The 19347-nt window shown below is 43.7% G+C and overlaps 1 protein-coding gene across 12 annotated transcripts in view, besides 2 other annotated features; it reads right to left on the bottom strand.

Annotated features, from left to right (window-relative positions):
* CACNB4 (calcium voltage-gated channel auxiliary subunit beta 4) overlaps positions 1-19347 on the bottom strand; it is a 266397-nt gene that overhangs the window by 165429 nt on the left and 81621 nt on the right. The gene's annotated exons all lie outside the window — the stretch shown is intronic.
* Positions 909-988: an enhancer, noted in NCBI's record as "active region_16641". NCBI's record gives its function as "activates an Ori minimal core promoter by ATAC-STARR-seq in GM12878 lymphoblastoid cells {active_cell/tissue: GM12878}" and the evidence as "EXISTENCE:reporter gene assay evidence [ECO:0000049][PMID:35858748]".
* Positions 2678-3178: an enhancer, noted in NCBI's record as "H3K4me1 hESC enhancer chr2:152857391-152857891 (GRCh37/hg19 assembly coordinates)". NCBI's record gives its function as "activates a minimal SCP1, AML or CMV promoter by ChIP-STARR-seq in naive H9 embryonic stem cells {active_cell/tissue: H9 hESC(naive)}" and the evidence as "EXISTENCE:reporter gene assay evidence [ECO:0000049][PMID:30033119]".

Consider the following 19347-nt stretch of genomic DNA (forward strand, 5'->3'; position numbering starts at 1 on the left):
CTGTAGTCCCAGCTACTCAGGAGGCTCAGACAAGAGAATCGCTTGAACTCAGGAGGCGTAGGTTGTGGTGAGTGGAGATGGTGCCACTGCAATCCAGCCTGGGCAACTCCATCTCCAAAAAAAAAAAAAAAAAAAAAAAAAAAAGTTGAAATTAAGTAAATTATGTAAACTGGAAAATATGCGATAAGTAGAAAGAGAATATCATCTGAGGTAGCAAAACCCAGTTTTGGTTCCTTACTCTGCTACATGTTACCTGAATGAACTTGATCAAGTCCCTGAACTTCCTTAACTTCTCAGAACCTCAGCTGTCTTATTGGTAAAATGAAACCATAAGTGCCATTTGCCTCACAAGATTGTTATGAGGCTCAGATGAAAGATGTGGAAATGATAAGGCCTGTACAGAAATCCACGGTGCTTATTATCCTTCCTCTCAGTATTCTGTCTCCCCTCCACGGGGGCACTAAGTCCATCTAGCAGGACCAGCAATGCATACAGCCAATAATAGGCTGGTCATCCCACATCTGCATCATTGGAATGCTGTATTCAGCACACCCCCCAGAAAATCTATTTTCACAGTGAGCCTCTCCCCTGCGTTCGAGGGCTGTCTACCCTAGTCTATGAGAATAGGGACATCGGTGGGCAGCCAGGTCTCCCAATGGATGTCTGAGCAGTGAGCAAGAGGGTGACCCACCTCTCCACCAAAGTGTGAAAAGCTTTCCCCTGGAGCTTGGTGAGCTTCACCCTCACGAAGATGCAAAAGTACCTTCTGCTTCTCTGTCACCTTGGTGCCAATGTAGGGACTCACACCCCGGGGCTGAGCCTGAATTTTATTTGGAGAACAGTTCTTGCAGCTTTAGCCTGAGAACAAATGCGGCTGTCAGCTGCTTGGCATAAGGAATCAGTAGGAACAGGGTGTCTTTTAATTAATTATCCAGACAATCAATCACTCACTCCATGGCCTACTCATGACCTCCACTAGATGGCGCAGGTGGTGCTTCTTCCCAGCTCCAGCCCAGAACGGTGCTCCCCTTGGACAGTTCATGTCCGCCCCCTCTGGGTTTTTTGCTCTATCTTTTAAAATCCAGTCCCCAGTCCCATCTGCTGGTACCTTCGGGACAATCCTCAGAATTTCTTTCCAGTTGATGGTACCTTATTCTGTCTGCCCGCCCTGTTATGGTTTTTTTTTTTTCTTCTTATACCCTTTGGGGGAATCATTTCAGTGAGATTCTGGGATGAAAAGGAAATAAATACTTATGTCATTCCAGCATCTTGACAAAGGAGCACCTATTTTTAAAATGCACAACAACAGCCCCAGTCCACTCCTTTACCTCTAACCCAATTTACCCAACGGAAATTTGCAGAGGTGGGGCCTAAGAATGCAGTTTCTTAAAGCCCCTTGGGTGATTCTGACGCACAGCCAGAGCCGAGAGCCAATGTGTTAATCCTCTTCTTGGTATAATTAAGGCAGCTTGTAGAGTAAAAATAAATCATTAGCAGCCATTTCATTTTGTTTAGGTACCAAGGCTATGCCACCCAAAAAGTTAATTGAAAATTACTAACCCAACTCCAGGACATAACTAGTACTTTGCAATCTACACCTTCTATCAGTGTGTGCTTTGTTAAATAAAACTCTTGGCGGGGAGAGTCTGGCTAGGATTCTATTCCCAAATTCATTTCTTCCTGTGTACCCTCAGTAATAACACTTCCCACCTACTTACCTCACAAGAGTGTTAATCAAAGGAATTTGAAAGCCATCTGAGCAAACTTTGTTGACTGAAATGGACACATAAGTATTGTATCAAAGCATTGTGTCATCAATCCTATAGCCTTTACTTAGAGATATTAACAAGAATATCATACTCCGACTTGACCTTTCCTCCCAGTCATACCTTTTATTGATCCTGAATTTTCAACAATGATGCTCATTTGCATCAGCAAATTGAGTTTCTTTCCTCCACCACCCACCTCACTCTTCAGGGGCTTTCGAGCTATGTCCTCCCTGCCAAGGCTTCACCACACCTACATGTCCAGACCTATCCTCCCAGAAACGAGATGGAGGGTCTGTGTAGAGTAGCAGCAAAATGTGGGGGCTATCTGGGACCAGACTACCTGGGTCCCAATCTCTGCACCATCTCTTGTTAGCAGTGTGGCCTTACACAAGTAACTAAAGCACCCTGCATCTAGTCTTCTCATCTGTAAAATGGGAATAAGAATTGTACCTCCTTCATAAGGTTGTTGTGAGAATAAGTGGATTCAAACCTGTGAAGGGCTTGGAACAGACACTGGAACATGATATTCCATATATGTTCTCTGTTGTCATTACAACTGGATGGCTCCATCTAGATGCATCCCGGATCCTGCAAACCCAAGACGTCTGTAACTAAATTCATTACCAGCCCCTCTAAACCTGTTCCAACTCTTGGTTCCTTTCTCAGTTAACAGCATCCATGTCAACCCAGTTGTCCAAACTGGAAACCTGAAAGGAATCCTTAACTCCCCATTTACTTTTCGTATATCCAATTAGCCACCAAATCCTCCCTCCCAGTGACAGCACTCTGTACCTACTCTCCCCTCCCAGCACTCACACGCCCCTGACCTCTTGGGCTGGGACAAGACTGCAGCGAGGACTGATGCTCATGGCCTGGGCGGAGGATGTGCAGAAAAGTGCGCGGGCTCTTGAGCCAGCGCAGATGTGGCTCTTCCACCGTCACCGCCCCAGAGGCCTCCTCATGGGCCTCCAGCCTCCCACCTCCAGCAGATTCTTCCTGAAGCATAACAATAGGTATGGCTTTTATCATGCCTACTGCATACCAGACACCATGCTAAGCAGTTTTCACATCAAATCTCACCGAATCTTTTCAACAACCCTACGAGGCAGGTACCATTAGGATTTCCATTTTACAGATTAAGAGGCTGAGCTACCAAAGGTCACGGTCAGTAAGTAGCAGTCAGGATTCAAACCTAGGAGGTCGGGATCAGAGCACATGGCCTTAACCACAGCCTCCTGCCTCTTGCCTCTCAACAAACTGGGCCTGGCCAAAGGCTGAGTGCCAAGGGGTGGTGGAAGGAGAGGGCAGCAAGAATGGGGCCTGAGACTCAGGCCCTGCCCTCTGGAAATTCACACTAAAGGCAGGGAGATGAAATGTGTATGTACCTGAATAAAACCACCATCTGGCAGGGTAGCGTCCATCAGTTAAAGAACGAGTCGGCCAGGCACGGTGGCGCATGCCTGTAATCCCAGCACTTTAGGAGGCCAAGACAGGTGGATCACCTGAGGTCAGGAGTTCGAGACCAGCCTGACCAACATGGTGAAACCCCATCTCTACTAAAAAAAAAAAAAAAAAAAAAAAAAAAAAATACAAAATTAGCCGGGCATGGTGGCACATGGCTATAATCCCAACTACTCAGGAGGCTGAGGCAGGAGAATCGCTTGAACCTGGGAGGCGGAGGTTGCAGTGAGCTGAGATCATGCCACTGCACTTCAGCCTGGGCAACAAGAGCAAAACTCTGTCTCGAAAGAAAAAAAAAAAAAAAGAGAATGAGTTTTACGGGTAACAAGTGCTTCCGGAGGATGATGTTTACATGAGTCTGGGATGTCAGGGAAGGAGCTTAGGAAAGCTGGCTCTTATGGGCTGTGGAATAGAATGTAAATAAGTGTAAATGGTCAGCAAGAGCTATCCTCATCAGGAGGATGCCAATGCAAAAATAGCAGGGAGGTGCGGGAGAGGTAGTCATTTTAGAAAGCTGGCTTCTGCCATTCTGCCAGCAAAAACCTAACTGTGCTAACAACGAGCATTTCTCCAAGGAGTGATCCACAGCACACCAAAGTCTTCACATGCCACACACCCCTACAAGAGGGACTGCTCACAACCTTTCCGTGTGTGCTTCAGGCATGATCATGGATATGAACAGCAATGCCGCACCTCCACGATCTGCAAGTCCCAGGAGATTTTAAAACAAAAGCCATCTCAGAGTTTCAGCAGTGGCTGACTTGCAGTACAGCAACATTTTTAAAGAGAAGAGGCTTTTTTTGTTCCTCTGTCCTCTTTCGTCCTCTTACTTGAAACACACACACACATACATATACACACACATGTGATGGCACTTCTTGATTCAATGAATTGGGAATATGATTTTTTTAGGAAGACAATTTTTTTAATACCAAATCATGTGGAGCTGATATAAATCAAAGATGTATCTGTGTGGGTCTTTCTCTGTTCATATATACAGCAAATACTGTCGAGGTTATACAGCGACCATGGCCTAAATAGCTGCAGTGGAAGATTTTGCAGATACTTCCCCAAAGCAAAATGTTATTGGAATCTATTCATTTTAATAAGAATTCTTCTGAGATCAAATATGCAACTTATCCAACTAACTAATTGTTGCCTTGGTCAAGTTAATTCACCTCTCTGAGACTTGGTTCTATCATCTATCAAATATATTTAACAATGTGTACCTTATACCACACAGAGTTGCTGTAAGAATTCAATGTAACCACATGTGATAGTGTGATTCAAATGTGCAGTATGGCTATTATCATTCACACCAAATAGATACAGCAGCATCAAAATGAGCTTGATACCATTCTATGTGGTGTTAGTGATGACCAAGGACTCAAAAGGAAGCATCTGTGGTTACATGCAATAAAGAGGTACTAGTGTTAGCAGGATTCCTATTTGAAATAACTTAGTATTTGCATTTTTGAGTTTAGCAGAAAGTCTCCATTTGAATTAATAAGGGTAGAAAATTTGAGAGCCCCAATTAGGTTCTGCATTTTTAAAATACATTCCATCAATGAACATCATGCAAAGCATGCTTTCCACTCCCAAGCAAATGAATTTCCATCTCCAGGGCCCATGGAAAATATAAAGTTTTGCCTGATACCATTTTCTTCCTGTAATTTAAAGACATTCATCTATACCATTTGCTTTATTATCCAGATTTTAAAAACATATCTCGGCCGGGCATGGTGCCTCACACCTGTAATCCCAGCACTTTGGGAGGCTGAGGCAGGCAGATTGCCTGAGGTCAGGAGTTCAAGACCAGTCTGGCCAATATGGTGAAACCCTGTCTCTATTAAAAATACAAAAAAAATTAGCCGGGCCTGGTGGCATGCACCTATAATCCCAGCTACTTGGGAGGCTGAGGCAGGGGAATTGCTTCAACCAGGGAGGTGGAGGTTGCAGTGAGCCAAGATTGTGCCACTGCACTCCAGCCTGGGCGACAGACCAAGATTCCATCTAAAAAAAAAAAAAAAATCTCTACAGCTGTTCTCATAACTTACACAGCCCCATTTTTCAAAACAGCTCTTGATGCGCTTATTATATTTTGACCTCCTCTCCAAAAGAAAGGAGACACATTTCAGTGAAAGCTTTAAGGTTTTTCTGCGGCAGTTCCCTCCTCCCCCTTCTCTGCTCTATTTTGGTATGGGTTACCTTTCACAGTGTTCTAGAGAAACCTCTCTTCGTTTTCCAGCCTCAAGGTAACTGGATAAAAATGTAATTCATCATTGTATTGACTATATTTAGATATACAGAATTCTTGAAATATTTACAGTAAAGAAGGAAGATTTTTAAGTTAGTTGAGGATGCTGGGATGGAGGAAAAGGAATATTTTAAAGAGAAATTAATAAAAAAAAAAACCTTACTTTAAAAAAAAACCAAACAAACATGGTCTCTGTCACCCAGGCTGGAGTGCAATGGTGCCATTAAGGCTCACTGCAGCCTTAAACTTCTGGGGTCAAGCAATCCTCTCACCTCTGCCTCCCAAGTACTCGGACCACAGGCACATGCCACCATGTCTGGTGACAGGATCTCGTTGTTACCCAGGCTGGTCTTGAACTCCTGGGCTCAAGTGATCCTCCTGCCTCAGTCTCCAAAAGCGCTGGGACTATAGGCATGAGCCACCGTGCCTGGTTGATTTGCTCAACTTTGACAAATCTTTGTAGGTACCTGAAGAACATGTACATTCCATAGCTATATCCTGAATAAGTAAGTCGGGTACCTGTGAGGAGGGCACCATACACCTTCCTTTATTTCCCTCTGAATGAACCCCTGGCAAACTCTCCTCTACCTACCCACTGCCCTGAGAGGTTCAGGCACTACCTAGTCCCTTCCAAGATCCTCCTCTCCTTTTCGATGTTCTGTGCAGAAGCCCCATTCCTGCCCTTCTGTGCAACTTAATTTAGCATATATTGGTCACACTTCTGCCCTGTGCAAGCCCCATGTTAAGGAAGGTCTTAGTTGAAAGCACTAGACCAATGTGCAAGAGCAGGTCCTGAGTTATTCAAAACTGGAAACAACCCCCGTGTCCCCCCTACTTTACATACATACACACACACACACACACACACACACACACACACACATGCTAACAACCAAAACCTCCTTCAGTCAATCCTGCCCCTCCTGCCTTCAGTGGAGTGGGCAGCTGATGCAGGAAGGAGTTGACTTATGAAATGACAGAGTCCCTTCTAGTTTTCCTGAAATTACAAAATCTACCAGCAGAATAGGGCTCCCGCAGCACCACTTAGCTGGGCTGGACAATGGGGATAGGGGAGGAGTCAGAGGCACTGTGGCAACCAGGTCACATCAGCATTCTTCAATAGGAAGACCATAAATATCAGTGGTTAAGCAGTTTTTCTGTTTCTTCAAGGCAGAGCCACAGCGGCGTTTCTTGTCTGTTTCTCTTTCTTAAGGAGCACTGGGTAGTGACATCTAGTGGTCCCTATTTAAATTACTCTTGGATGCAAATCAAAACCACAATGAGACACCATCTCACACCAGTCAGAATTGCTATTATTAAAAAGTCAAAAAATAACAGATGCTGGTGAGGTCGTGGCAAAAAAGAAATGCTTATAAACTGTTGGTGGGAATGCAAATTAGTTCAGCCCCTGTGGAAAGCACTTTGGAAATTTTGCAAAGAACTAAAAATAGAACTACCATTCAACCCAGCAGTTCCATTACTGGGTATCTACTCAAAGGAGAATGAATCTTTCTGCCATAAAGACACATGCATGTGTATGTTCATCGCAGTACTATTCACAGTAGCAAAGACATGGACTCAACCTACATGCCCATCAGTGGTGGATCAGACAAAGAAAACGTGGGACATATACATCAGGGAATACTAGGCAGTCATAAAAAGAACAAAATCAGGTTCTTTGCAGCAATGTGGATGCAGCAGGAGGCTGTCATCCTAAGAGAACTAATGCAGAAATGGAAAATCAAGAACTGAATGTTCTCACTTATAAGTGAGAGCTAAAATTTGGGGTCACACAGACATAAAGATGGGAACAAGAGACAATGGAGACTTCAAAAGGAGGGAGTGAGGGGGGCGGAAAAACTTCCTATTGGGTACTATGTTCATGATCTGGGTGAAGGGATCCATAGAAACACAAACCTCAGCACCACACAACCTCGTCCTTGGAACAAACCTGCACATGTATTTCTAAATCTACAATAAAAATGGAAACATTTCTTAAATTACTCTTGGACTACAGTGCCATGACAAAATAAATGAGAAACAGCTTTCAGGAAACTCAGAGTTAATTCTAAGTGCAAGTGCAACCACCACTGTGTCCCAGATTTCTGTCACAACCATTTCGGGCAAGTTACTTCCCCTTTCTGCACCTCCATTTCCTTATTTGTAAATAGGGATAACAATGGAACCAAGTACATGGGCTATTTGGAGGACTGAAGGAGATAATATATGCAAAATGCTCAGAACGGTGCCTGGCACATAGTCAGCATTCAACAATGTTCGCTATCATTAGTATTCTACTCCACCTGTCTTTGTCATACCATAAAAATCATTTTTTAAGTACTTAGTGAAAGTGCATCAATTTTTACCCATAATCTTCTAGTGCTATTGACACAGCCAGGAAGATATGCCTCATATACCATGTGGTCTTGCATATGCCCTCGACACCACTCTGCATGCCTTCAAAGGGCACAGCAACCTCACCATCAGAAGTTCAATGTCATCCAAGCCCATCAGTGGCCCACATTGCCCAGGATTTATGTTTGAGATCTGAATGTCTCAGGTGGGATGTGCTCTATTCAGCTTGCCACAGTCCATACTACTCCCTGTCACCTGGACTAAGCCACTTGTCTCACATTTGTTACCTGCTGGCCTCTGAAAACACTTGAGTTTGAGTTTGATGCCCCCGTTCCATATCTCTCTTTTTTCTTTTCTTTCTTTTTTTTTTTTTTTCTTTGAGATGGAGTCTCACTCTGTTGTCCAGGCTGGAGTGCAGTGATGCAGTCTCGGCTCACTGAAACCTCCGCCTCCTGGGTTCAAGCGATTCATGCCTCAGCCTCCCAAGTAGCTGGGACTACAGGTGTGAGCCACCACATCTGGCTAATTTTTGTACTTTTTAGTAGGGTTTTGACATGGTGGCCAGGCGGGTTTCAAACTCCTGACCTCAAGTGATCCACCTGCCTTGGCCTCCCAAAGTGCTGGGATTACAGGCATGAGACACCACGCCTGGCCCTATATCTCTTACTCTGGGATTGAAAGCCTTTCATTATCTGCCCTGGTAGTCACGTTTCATTCATACGAACCCTACATACCAACCATCGTCATGGCAGCTGAATATTTAAGTTCCCACCAGTTTCTGGATCTTTCCTTAGCCAGCTCCTATCTATCTAGAATACCTCCTATCCTCTTTCCACCCCAATCCTGCCTCTCCTCCAAGGTCCACCTTCAATTACACGGCTACCTTAGAAACTTCCCATTGACTAGTAGAGCCTTAAGTAATCTTCCCTTTCTCAGTTGTGTCATCTATAAAGCAGGGCTAATAAGTACCTGTTTCAGAGGGTTGCTGGAGATGAGCAATAAGTTAGATGAGTTAATAAGTACTTTGTGCCGGCAAGTCACACCTGGTCTGTCAATAAGGCCTTACTGTTACCATTTTATCCCTCTCCGCTGACAACTCTACCACCTATTGTATTTTTGTGTATGTGCCTTTTTTTTAACCATTTTTCAAATCATGGGAAAATATGCATAACAAAATGTAGCATTTTAACCATCCGTAAGTGTGCAGTTCAGTGATATTAACTACATTCAAATTGATGTGCAACCATCATCACTATCCATCTCTAGAACTTTTCCATCTTCCATTTCAACTTTTCAAAAAGAAACTCTGTACCCATTTAACACTAACTCTCCATTCTGTCCTCCCCCAAACCCTGGCAACCACTATTAGAATTTGTGTCTCTGAAGTTGACTACTCTAGATATTTCATATAAGTGGAACCATAAAACATTCTTCCTTTGGGGCCTGGCTTATTTCACTTAGCGTAATGTCTTCAAGGTTCACCTATGTTGCAGCACGAGTCAAACTTTTCCCTCATTTTCAAGGCTGGATAGTATTCTGTTGTATGTGTATCCTACATTTTCTTTAGCCATCCGTCTGTGGATGGACACTTGGGTTACTTCCACATTTTGGCTATTGTGAAGAATGCTGCTGTGAACACAGTTGTACAGATACCTGTTCAAATTCCTGCTTTCAGTCCTTATGGGCATATATTCAGAAGTGGAATTGCTGGATCATATGGTAATTCTACGTAATTTTTTTTTTTTTTTGAGACGGAGTCTCGCTCTGTCACCCAGGCTGGAGTGCAGTGGCACCATCTTGGCTTACTGCAACCTCCACCTCCCGGGTTCAAGTGGTTCTGCTGCTTCAGTCTCCTGAGCAGCTAGGATTACAGGCACCTGCCACCATGCCCAGCTAATTTTTGTATTTTTAGTAGAGACAGGGTTTCACCATGTTGGCCAGGCTGGTCTTGAACTCCTGGCCTCAAGTGATCTGCCCGCCTCAGCCTCCCAAAGTGCTGGGATTAGGTGCCAGCCACCATGCCCTGCCAATTCTACATAATTTTCTGAGGAACTCCTGTACTCTTTTCCACAGTGGCTGCACCATTTTACATTTCCACAAGCAATGCATAAGAGTTCCCATTTCTCCACATGCTTTCTAACACTTGTTCTTTTTTTTTTTAAGCCATCACAGTGGTGTGAACTGTCTACTGTCTATTGTCTTCATCTCCATTTTGCAATTTACTTTTACTCCCTTGCTTTGTTCAGTCTTCTTTCTTTTTCTTGAGATGAAGTCTCACTCTGTCGCCCAGGCTGGAGTGCAGTGGTGCAATCTCAGCTCAGTGCAACCTCCGCCTCCCGGGTTCAAGTGATTCTCTTGCCTCAGCCTCCCAAGTAGCTAAAATTACAGTCATGCACCACCACGCTCAGCTAATTTTTGTATTTTTAGTAGAGACAGGGTTTCACTGTCTCTACTAAATATGTTGGCCAGGCTGGTCTCGAACTCCTGGCCTCAAGTGATTCACCCACCTTGGCCTCCCAAAGTGCCGGGATTACAAGCATGAGCCACCATGCCCAGCCAGTCTTCTTTATTTTTCTGATAGAACCACGAACTTCCTGAAGGCAGAAACTGTGATATATAATTTATCTAACTCTTCTCTCATCTCCCACCTGGCCCCCTTGCTCTCACTGCCACTTAATATGGAGTCTGGCCCAAGTCTAGGGTCTTGATCCTCCAAGCATGATCTCTTGCAGCCTGGGTGCAGCGGGGAGCTTGTTGGGAATGCAAAATCTCAGGCCCTGCCCTGGAACTACTGAACAAGAATCTGCATTTTAACAAGATCTCCAGTGAAGCGCTGGGCAGCACTAGCACGGGGAAAGGCAACTTCCCTTGGTTCTGTCATTAAGTTCAGTGACCTCATCTGGTAAGTACTCTGCAAATGTTTGCTGACTGGAGGATTAATGAAGAAAATGAACAGCGCTTTTAACCACCACCATCAGGCCTTTATCAAAAATGTGAAAAAGGACCAGGCATGGTGGCTCACACCTTTAATCCCAGCACTTTGGGAGGCTGAGGTGGGAGGATCGCTTGAGCCCAGGAGTTCAAGGCTGCAGTTAGCTGTGTTTGTGCCCCTGCACTCTAGCCTGGGAAACAGTGAGACCCTGTCTCAAAAAAAAAAAAAAAAGAAAGAAAGAAAGAAAGGAAAAAGCATCTCTTGCAAAGTAGCTCAAAGCAGATTGAAAAATAGGGCACAGAAAACTGTCACAGTCAAGAGGAGCCTAAGGAGACATAATGACAAAATGTCATGTGGTATCCTGGGTGAGACTGTCATGTGGTATCCTGGATGAAATCATGGGACAGAAAAAAGGTCATTAGGTAAAAGGTAGGGAAATCTGAACAAAGAATGGACTTATTTCATAAGAACATATCAATATCAGTTTACCGATGGTGACAAATGTACCATAGTAAGGTAAGATGTTACTAACGGGGGAAACTCGGTGCAGGGTATAGAGGAACTCTCTGTACCACTGTCACAGTTGGTTGTATATCTAAAACAACTCTGAAACACAAAGTTTATTAAAGAAGGGGAGACAGAGAAGAGGCAGGTATCAAGATGACCCTCAGCAGCAAACGTGCAGGAAGTAACCTTTGTGCCATTAATTTCCTGCAGTGCAATGCACGGGTGCCTCCAGGACCCTATGGAATCAAAATGACACATTTGTAGCTCTGAGGAAAGACGGTCCACAGCTGGCTGTCTCTGAATCTGAGGTCAGTTTGGCCTCCCTCTGCGGGGACAGGCCTCTGCTTTCTAACTGGCTCCTCACCTTTTTCCCTAGAGGAGGGAGCCACCTGCTAAAAAGGCGTCAAGAAACTGGGGCTGGGGACACAGCAACAGTGAGAAATCTTCCAGCACTCTCTTCTCTGCCTTCCCTGTGTTGAAATGTACTTTCTTGAGATTAACATTTAAGTTATATCTGTTCTTAAAAGAAAACATTAATACTGAGTCACAACCAAAGTCAAGGACCATAGGGAGCTAAGTTTTATTGGGAGGCCACTACCTTCCTCCAGATGTTGCGCTAACCTTTAACTAAGCTCATTCTAACAGGGGTGACTTCTTTCTCTCTAAATTTCTCCAATAAGCTTCTTCGTTGAATATGACACACTTTGTTGATATCAAAATGTAGATGTTAGGGAAGTAAGCACCATTAAAATCAATCTGCACTAAAACAGGTAGTCATAATAAAGTTTTACAGCTAGCATTTCTTCTTTGTACTATGTTCTAGACATGGCAAGCGTGTTATTATCTCCATGGAATACTTGCTACACTGGCAGGATAGAAGAGACGGGTTTAACGTGGAAGGCTTTGGGACTTGAGATCATTACAAGTTCGGTGTGGCACAGGGGAGATATGGCTAACCACAAAGCTGACATAATATTATACTGAACTAATAAAAATATAATGACTAGGGCAATGGGAAGGCAAATATTTACTGAGAAAAGATTATTTGCCATACACTGATATTAGAGACTTCACACATGTCATTGCCTTATTGTGTATAGCACCCCTTAAGTGGAGGAATTATTGTTCCCTCTCTACAAGATGAATAAACTTGAGATTCGAAGAACAGATAAACGGTGCATGGGTCACTCTGCTAGCAAGTGGCAGAGCTGGATCTTGAGCCCAGGTGCATCTGAGGGCAAAGCCTGGGCCCCTTCCATGAGGGCCACCCTGCCCAACCAGGGTCAATGATGGCCCGGCGGCGTTTGGCACTGGGGTCCTGCATCTGTTCCCAGCCCAGCACTGTATAGGGTGGAGGCTGGGGATCTGTGGGAACACACCTCAAGGACAGCAACCAGCAGGGAGGCAAAACTAAAACGTTTCCTGTAAGAGATGGTGAGGGAGAAAACGTGGCCCAGAGATGAGATGTTACAAGGAGATATGACTGCTCCCCTCATATTTAAGAGCTCCCAAGGTAGAAAAAGGAACAGACACCCTTGGGTGATCAAAGAAAACAGAAATAGGGTCGAAGAAAATCAAAACTAGAGGGAGACAGAGGTAGGTTCAATACAATGAAGAACACAGAACAATTATTCCAGAAGAGTCACTGTCTCATGAGGTAGCAAGGTCTGCATCTGTACAGGTGAGAGCCCACCTATCATTGAGATGAAGTCATCTAGAATTCAAGAAAAACTTTCAGCTCCCTTCTAACTGAAACTCCAGGCTCAGTTATCTGGTATAGAACCCTCCAGTAACCCCCAGGTCCCTCCACCTTCTTCCTTTGAGGTCCTGACCAAGAAACACGGTGCCTTGATCACTCTGTGACCTGGACACCTGCATGTTTTCCACTCTGGGCTCGAACCCAAGCTGGGGTCTTGAACATTCCCAGGCACTGATAAAGTTGTTGAGGTTATTGCTTGAAGCACGGAGAAATCAACTATGTTGCTAAACACAGAAATTACCCCTGACCCTGAGCCAAATTCTTTGAACCCTCATAGAACCCTGCCGTCCCAGTAGCAACATACCTGGGTAGAATATCTCTTTTCTCACTGTCTGTCACAAAGATGCTAAAGCTCCCTAAGTTCCCCCTAATAAATGTTTTTGACTGATCACCCTGGTGTTTGATGCTTCTTTCTTTGGAATCCCAAACGGTCCCATTTCTGGTCTGAGACAGTCCCTTGCAGGAATTCCCCTGCTGCCACTTTTGGGGTGACTCCAGGGCAGGTTCAGTGGACAGAACATCCTAATACAGTCATGCGCCACATAATGATGTTTCAACATTTTGGTCAACCATGGACCAAATATATGACAGTGGTCCCATAAGACTGTAATGGGGCTGAAGAATTCCTATCACCTAGTGACTCTGTAGCTGTCCTAACTTCATAGCATGAGGCATTACTCAGGTTTTTGTGACGATGCTAGTGTAAACAAACCTACTGTGCTGTCAGTCATATAAAAGTATAGCACAGATAGTTATGTACAGTACATCATATTGACAATAAACAACTGTGTTTCTGGTTTATATATTTACTAAACTAGGCTTTTTATTTTTATTTTAGAGTATACTCCTTCTATTTATTAAAAAAAAAAAAAAAGTTAACTGTAAAACAGCCTCAGGCAGGTCCTTCTGGAGGTATCCCAGAAGAAGGCATCATTGTCATAGCAGATGACAGCTCCATGTGGGTTACTGCCCCTGAGATCCTTCCAGTGCGAAAAGATGTGGAGATGGAAGACAGCGAGACTGATGAGCCTCACTCTGTGGAGACCTAGGCTAATGTGCATGCTTGTGTGTTAGTTTTTAATTAAAAGGCGTGGTGGCTCACACCTGTAATCCCAGCACTTTGGGAGGCCGAGGCAGGTGGAGCGCCTGAAGTCAGGAGTTCCAGACCAGCCTGACCAACATGGTGAAACGCAGCCTCTACTAAAAATACAAAAATTAGCCGGGCGTGGCGGCGGGCACCTGTATTCCCAGCTACTCAGGAGGCTGAGGCTGGAGAATTGCTTGAACCCGGGAGGCGGAGGTTGCAGTGAGCCAAGATCGTGTCACTGTGCTGCAGCCTGGAAGACAGAGCGACGCTCCATCTCAAAAAAAAAAAAAAAGTGTAAAAAGTAAAAGAAAAAAGTTCATATAAGGATAAATAGAAAATATATTTACACAGAAGTATAATGTGTTTGTGTTTTAAGCTAAGTGTTATTCCAAAACAGTCAAAAGGTTAAAAAGAAGTTAAAGTTTATAAAGTAAAAAAGTTATACTAAGCTAAGGTTGATTTATTATTGAAGAAAAAATTCTTAAAAATGTAGTGTAGCCTAATTGTACAGGGATAAAGTCTACAGTAGTGGACAGTAATGTCCCTGGCATTCACGTTCACTCAGGACTCACTCACTGACTCACCCAGAGCAACTTCCAATCCTGCAAGCTCCATTTGCAATAAGTGCCCTAGACAAGTGTACCATTTTAATCTCTTACACCATACTTTTACTGTACCTTTTCTATGTGTAGATACATTTAAATATACAAACACTTACTATTGTGTTACAATTGGCTACAATATCCAGTAGCTCACATGCTGCACAGGTTTGTAGCTAGGAGCAACAGGCTATACCACATAGCCTAAGTGTGTGGTAGGCTACACCATCTAGGTTTGTGTAAGTGCATTTTGTGATGTTCACACAATGACCAAATCACCTATAATGATGTGTTTTTCAGAACGTCTCCCCATCACTAAGTGGTACATGACTGTACAGAGTTTTATCACATAACTCATTTGGACAGAATATACACAGGCCATATGAGGATTACACAATTTCAAGACAGCAAATTATAAACATGTCTAATTCACACCAAACATACAGAAGTCTTTGTCAGCACTTCAAGGATATCATTATGAATACGGAATGTCATCAAGCAGCAGGTACACAGAAATGCCCATGACAGAGAGTACTAGGTTGCTCGGAGGGAGGGCAGGAGAGGTGCCTTTAGACCTGCTGGAGCCCATTAGCCTGTGTCCTTGTGAGTCCCATGATGGAATCCTGGGGTTCACATAGCAGAGAGGCTCTGCAGAGGGGATACGCAGGGGGCCAAATTGAGCACGAGATCCTGCACAAAAGCATGCCCCGTGCAAAGGACCCTTCCCCCAGGATATAGAGAGGTCCTCTTTGAACCTCTTCATGCAACCATTACCAAGGAATCAGCAAGAATGTGAGAGCTGTTGTGTTATAATCGCAAAGCCCTGGTAACTCTGGTAAGGAGGCTCACTCTGCTACTACTCATTATGGGATGGGATAGTGCCTTCCTTCGGAAGAATGTAATCTTCCCAGCATACCTTTTACAGACTTCCCAGCTTTGCTCCATATGGATGAAATGCTTCTAGGTCTCCAGAGCCAACACGGCTCTTTCACTTAGCAGTTCCATCTGTTCTGCAGGTCAGTTCACTGGTTAAGCAAGTCACACCTTTCCTAGCTGGCTGGGAAAACAATGACACTACCCTGTTACATGATGGGATGTAGTGAGCAACACTCCATGGTCCAAAAGAGTCCTTCTTAGCCTGATGTGGTGGCTCATGCCTGCAATCCCAGCACTTTGGGAGACCGAGGCAGGAGGATCACTTACTTGAGCTCAGGAGTTTGAAACCAGCCTGGCCAACATGGTGAAACCCCATCTCTACTAAAATTACAAAAATCAGCTGGGCATGGTGACGGACACCTGTAATCCCAGCTACTCCAGAGGCTGAGACAGGAGAATCACTCAAACCCAGGGGACAGAGATTGTAGTGAGCCAAGATCACACCACTGCGCTCCAGCCTGGGTGACAAAGTGAGACTCCATCTCAAAAACAAAAACAAAAGAGTCATTCTTGGTCCAGTACAGGCCTCTTTCTAAAGCTTTCTTCTTACAGATAATTTGCGTAGAATCTAAAGAATCATAATTTTTGGCTGGACATGGTGGCTCTCACCTGTAATCCTAGCACTTTGGGAGGCTGAGGTGGGCACATCACTTGAGGCCAGGAGTTCGAGACCAGCCTGGCCAACATGGTGAAACCCCATCTCTACTAAAAATACAAAAATTAGCTGGGTGTGGTGGCAGGCACCTATAATCCCAGGTACTCAGGAGGGTGAGGCAGGAGAATCGCTTGAACCCAGGAAGTGGAGGTTGCAGTGAGCTGAGATTGCACCACTGCACTCCAGCCTGGGTGACAGAGCGCAACTCTGTCTCAAAAAAAAAAAAAATCATAATTTTAAATTAATATGGAAAAACTGTCTTAAAAAAAAGTCTTGTTGGCCATTTTCATTTCTTGTAAGTTTTGTGCCTCAGAGAACCAATTATGAAAACATTTATGCAGTCACTGTGTTCCACTATTAGAAATTTAAATGTTTAACTTAATTTAATTATCCAAAGGAATGTTAATCAAAAGGACAAAAACAAATGGAAGGCAAGGCGCTGTAAACCAAGGCTGAATGTGCTCTCTTGTACAAAGTGCTCGTTTGTCAAAACCATGAAACCAAGCTTCCTAATTCTAGAAAGAAAAGAATGTAAGCCCCAAAACCTTCATGAACCATTTCCTCCAGCTCTAAAATTCTGTGATTCCACCATTACTCCCCTCAACCAGCACCTCTAAAACAATTTTTTTTTTTTGAGATGGAGTCTCGCTCTGTTGCCCAGGCTGGAGTGCAGTGGCACGATCTCGGCTCACCGCAACCTCCGCCTCCAGGGTTCAAGTGATTCTCCTGCCTCAGCCTCCTGAGTAGCTGGGATTACAGGCACCCGCCACCATGCCCAGCTAATTTTTGGATTTTTAGTAGAGACGGGGTTTCACTATGTTGGCCAGGCTGGTCTCGAACTCCTGACCTCATGATCCACCCACCTCAGCTTCCCAAAGTGCTGGGATTACAGGCGTGAGCCACCATGCCCAGCCAAAACAATTTTTTTTAACTAAAAATATATCATCTGTAAGTTCTAGTGTCCCCCTATGGCACATCTTCTTAGCACAACTGGGGACACACTGCCTTGCAGAGGGATTCTATTTACCTAACCAATGGATTCAGGCAAGACATGGGATTTGCTTTGGAAAATGAATTGTGAGCAAAAATGTACGTTACTTCTGGATGGAAGATTTAAGAGTCAGTAGTTGCTTCATTGCACTCTTCTCCCTTTGCCGGGCAGTGTTCCAGATAGGGGCTGTTCTGTCAGCCCAGGTCCCAGAGCGAAGATGACAGAGAGAGCAACTACAGTAAACCTGCACGGGCAGAAGCAACAAATGAGAAATAAACTCTGGTTGTCATAAGCCACTGAGACTTTCCACTGTGTTTGTTACCACAGCCCAACATAGCCTTTATACTTGGAACTGCCCACCCAGTTAGTCAATATCTGCAACAGACTTTGTCTTCAGGATTACGAGATCCAATTTTAAAATACTTCCAGACAGATATGTGCTAAAAATACATCGTTTACAAAAATTAGGTATTTACGCAAAAGCTTTTTTTTGTAGTTGCCACTAAAAATAGGCTGACTTGCTAACCTAGGAATTCTGTAACAGGTTTTCTCTCCTATTACCAATTGCTATAGTATTAGAAAAGTAAAAACTATATAGTGCATCTGCTATAAACGACAAAGTGAAACATCAGCTATTCATAGCAAAACAAGCACTTTAGGGTGGCTTGAGATTCTCATTCAGAGATACAGAAAGAATGTAGGAATGCAGTACTACAAAATTGTTAAAATTATTAATGGCAAGAAAGTAAAAAGACAAAAGTTCCATTTAGAAAATACTTTGTACAAACTATATGTTCCATAACTACAGAAAGAATGAAACTTGCTTTTTCTACTCTGAAGAGGCTTCTAACATCCTATTTTGAATTCAGGTTGCCATAGAAACCAGTAGACTTCTGTATGGGATTCCATCAAAATTACTGTATAATTTGATGCACACAGAAGAACCCTGTCTCACTGTCTCAACTTAAAACAAAGCCACTACTCTGGTTTGAATCCTTTGATGAGTCTCATCGTTTGAGGCTAAACCAATCTATTAAAAAAAATTAAGGCTCATGACAGTGATATTCCTTTGAATTTAGACATTTTGCTTTCCAAGAGATAGGAGCAATGTTGACATGACCATGACCCACAGTCACGTTATCTGAAGCCAGGTCACGATACATCACTCACCGTTCCAGGCATGCATGTCTACGTTTGCACGCTCAGGCACAAATGTGGCTAGGAGGATATCTTTATGTAGAGCCACAATAACTGTGCTTCGGATAAGCCACAAAATATATGGTACAGCCACTATACAAAAATATAATATTCATAGTAATAATAGCTGCCATTCTGTGTGCTTACTGTTTTAAATTATTTTTCTATATTAATGCAACAGCCCTATGAATCAGGCTTTATTATCATCTTCCTTTTATACACAGGGGAAATGAGGCAAAGAGAGTTTTCACAGATTGCCCAATATCATTTAGTTGTTAAAGGTAGAACTGCAAGTTTAACCCAGGTGTTGCTCTTTAGAGTTTGCACTTTTAACCACTAGGCTTCCTTCTCCAGGCATTTCATCTTAATTTACAACTACAAACATGAGACAAGCTTAGCCCAGATTAAGAACACAGGCACAGCACCCACTCCAATAGTTATCAAGCTCTAGGGCATACATATAACTAAGGCTGTTTAATGAAAATGTATATTCCTGGGTCTTCCATCCAGATATTCTGATTCAACGTATCTGAGAAGGGACCTGTGCACCTGCATTTTAACAGCACCCCTAGTGGTTCTGACACAAGTAGTTCTGCAGACCACATTTGAAAAATAACAATTTATTCAAACTCAGCTAATGAGTCATTGCAGATAGATAAATCAACTTCACTGATCCAGAGAAAACCTGAGAAACAGAAGGAAGCCTTAAAAAAATGAGATGGGCCGGGCGCGGTGGCTCACGCCTGTAATCCCAGCATTTTGGGAGGCTGAGGCGGGCGGATCCCGAGGTCAGGAGATCGAGACCCATCCTGGCTAAGACGGTGAAACCCCATCTCTACTAA

This window comes from Homo sapiens, chromosome 2 (assembly GCF_000001405.40).
Source record: "Homo sapiens chromosome 2, GRCh38.p14 Primary Assembly".
NCBI classification, from domain to species: Eukaryota; Metazoa; Chordata; class Mammalia; order Primates; family Hominidae; genus Homo; species Homo sapiens.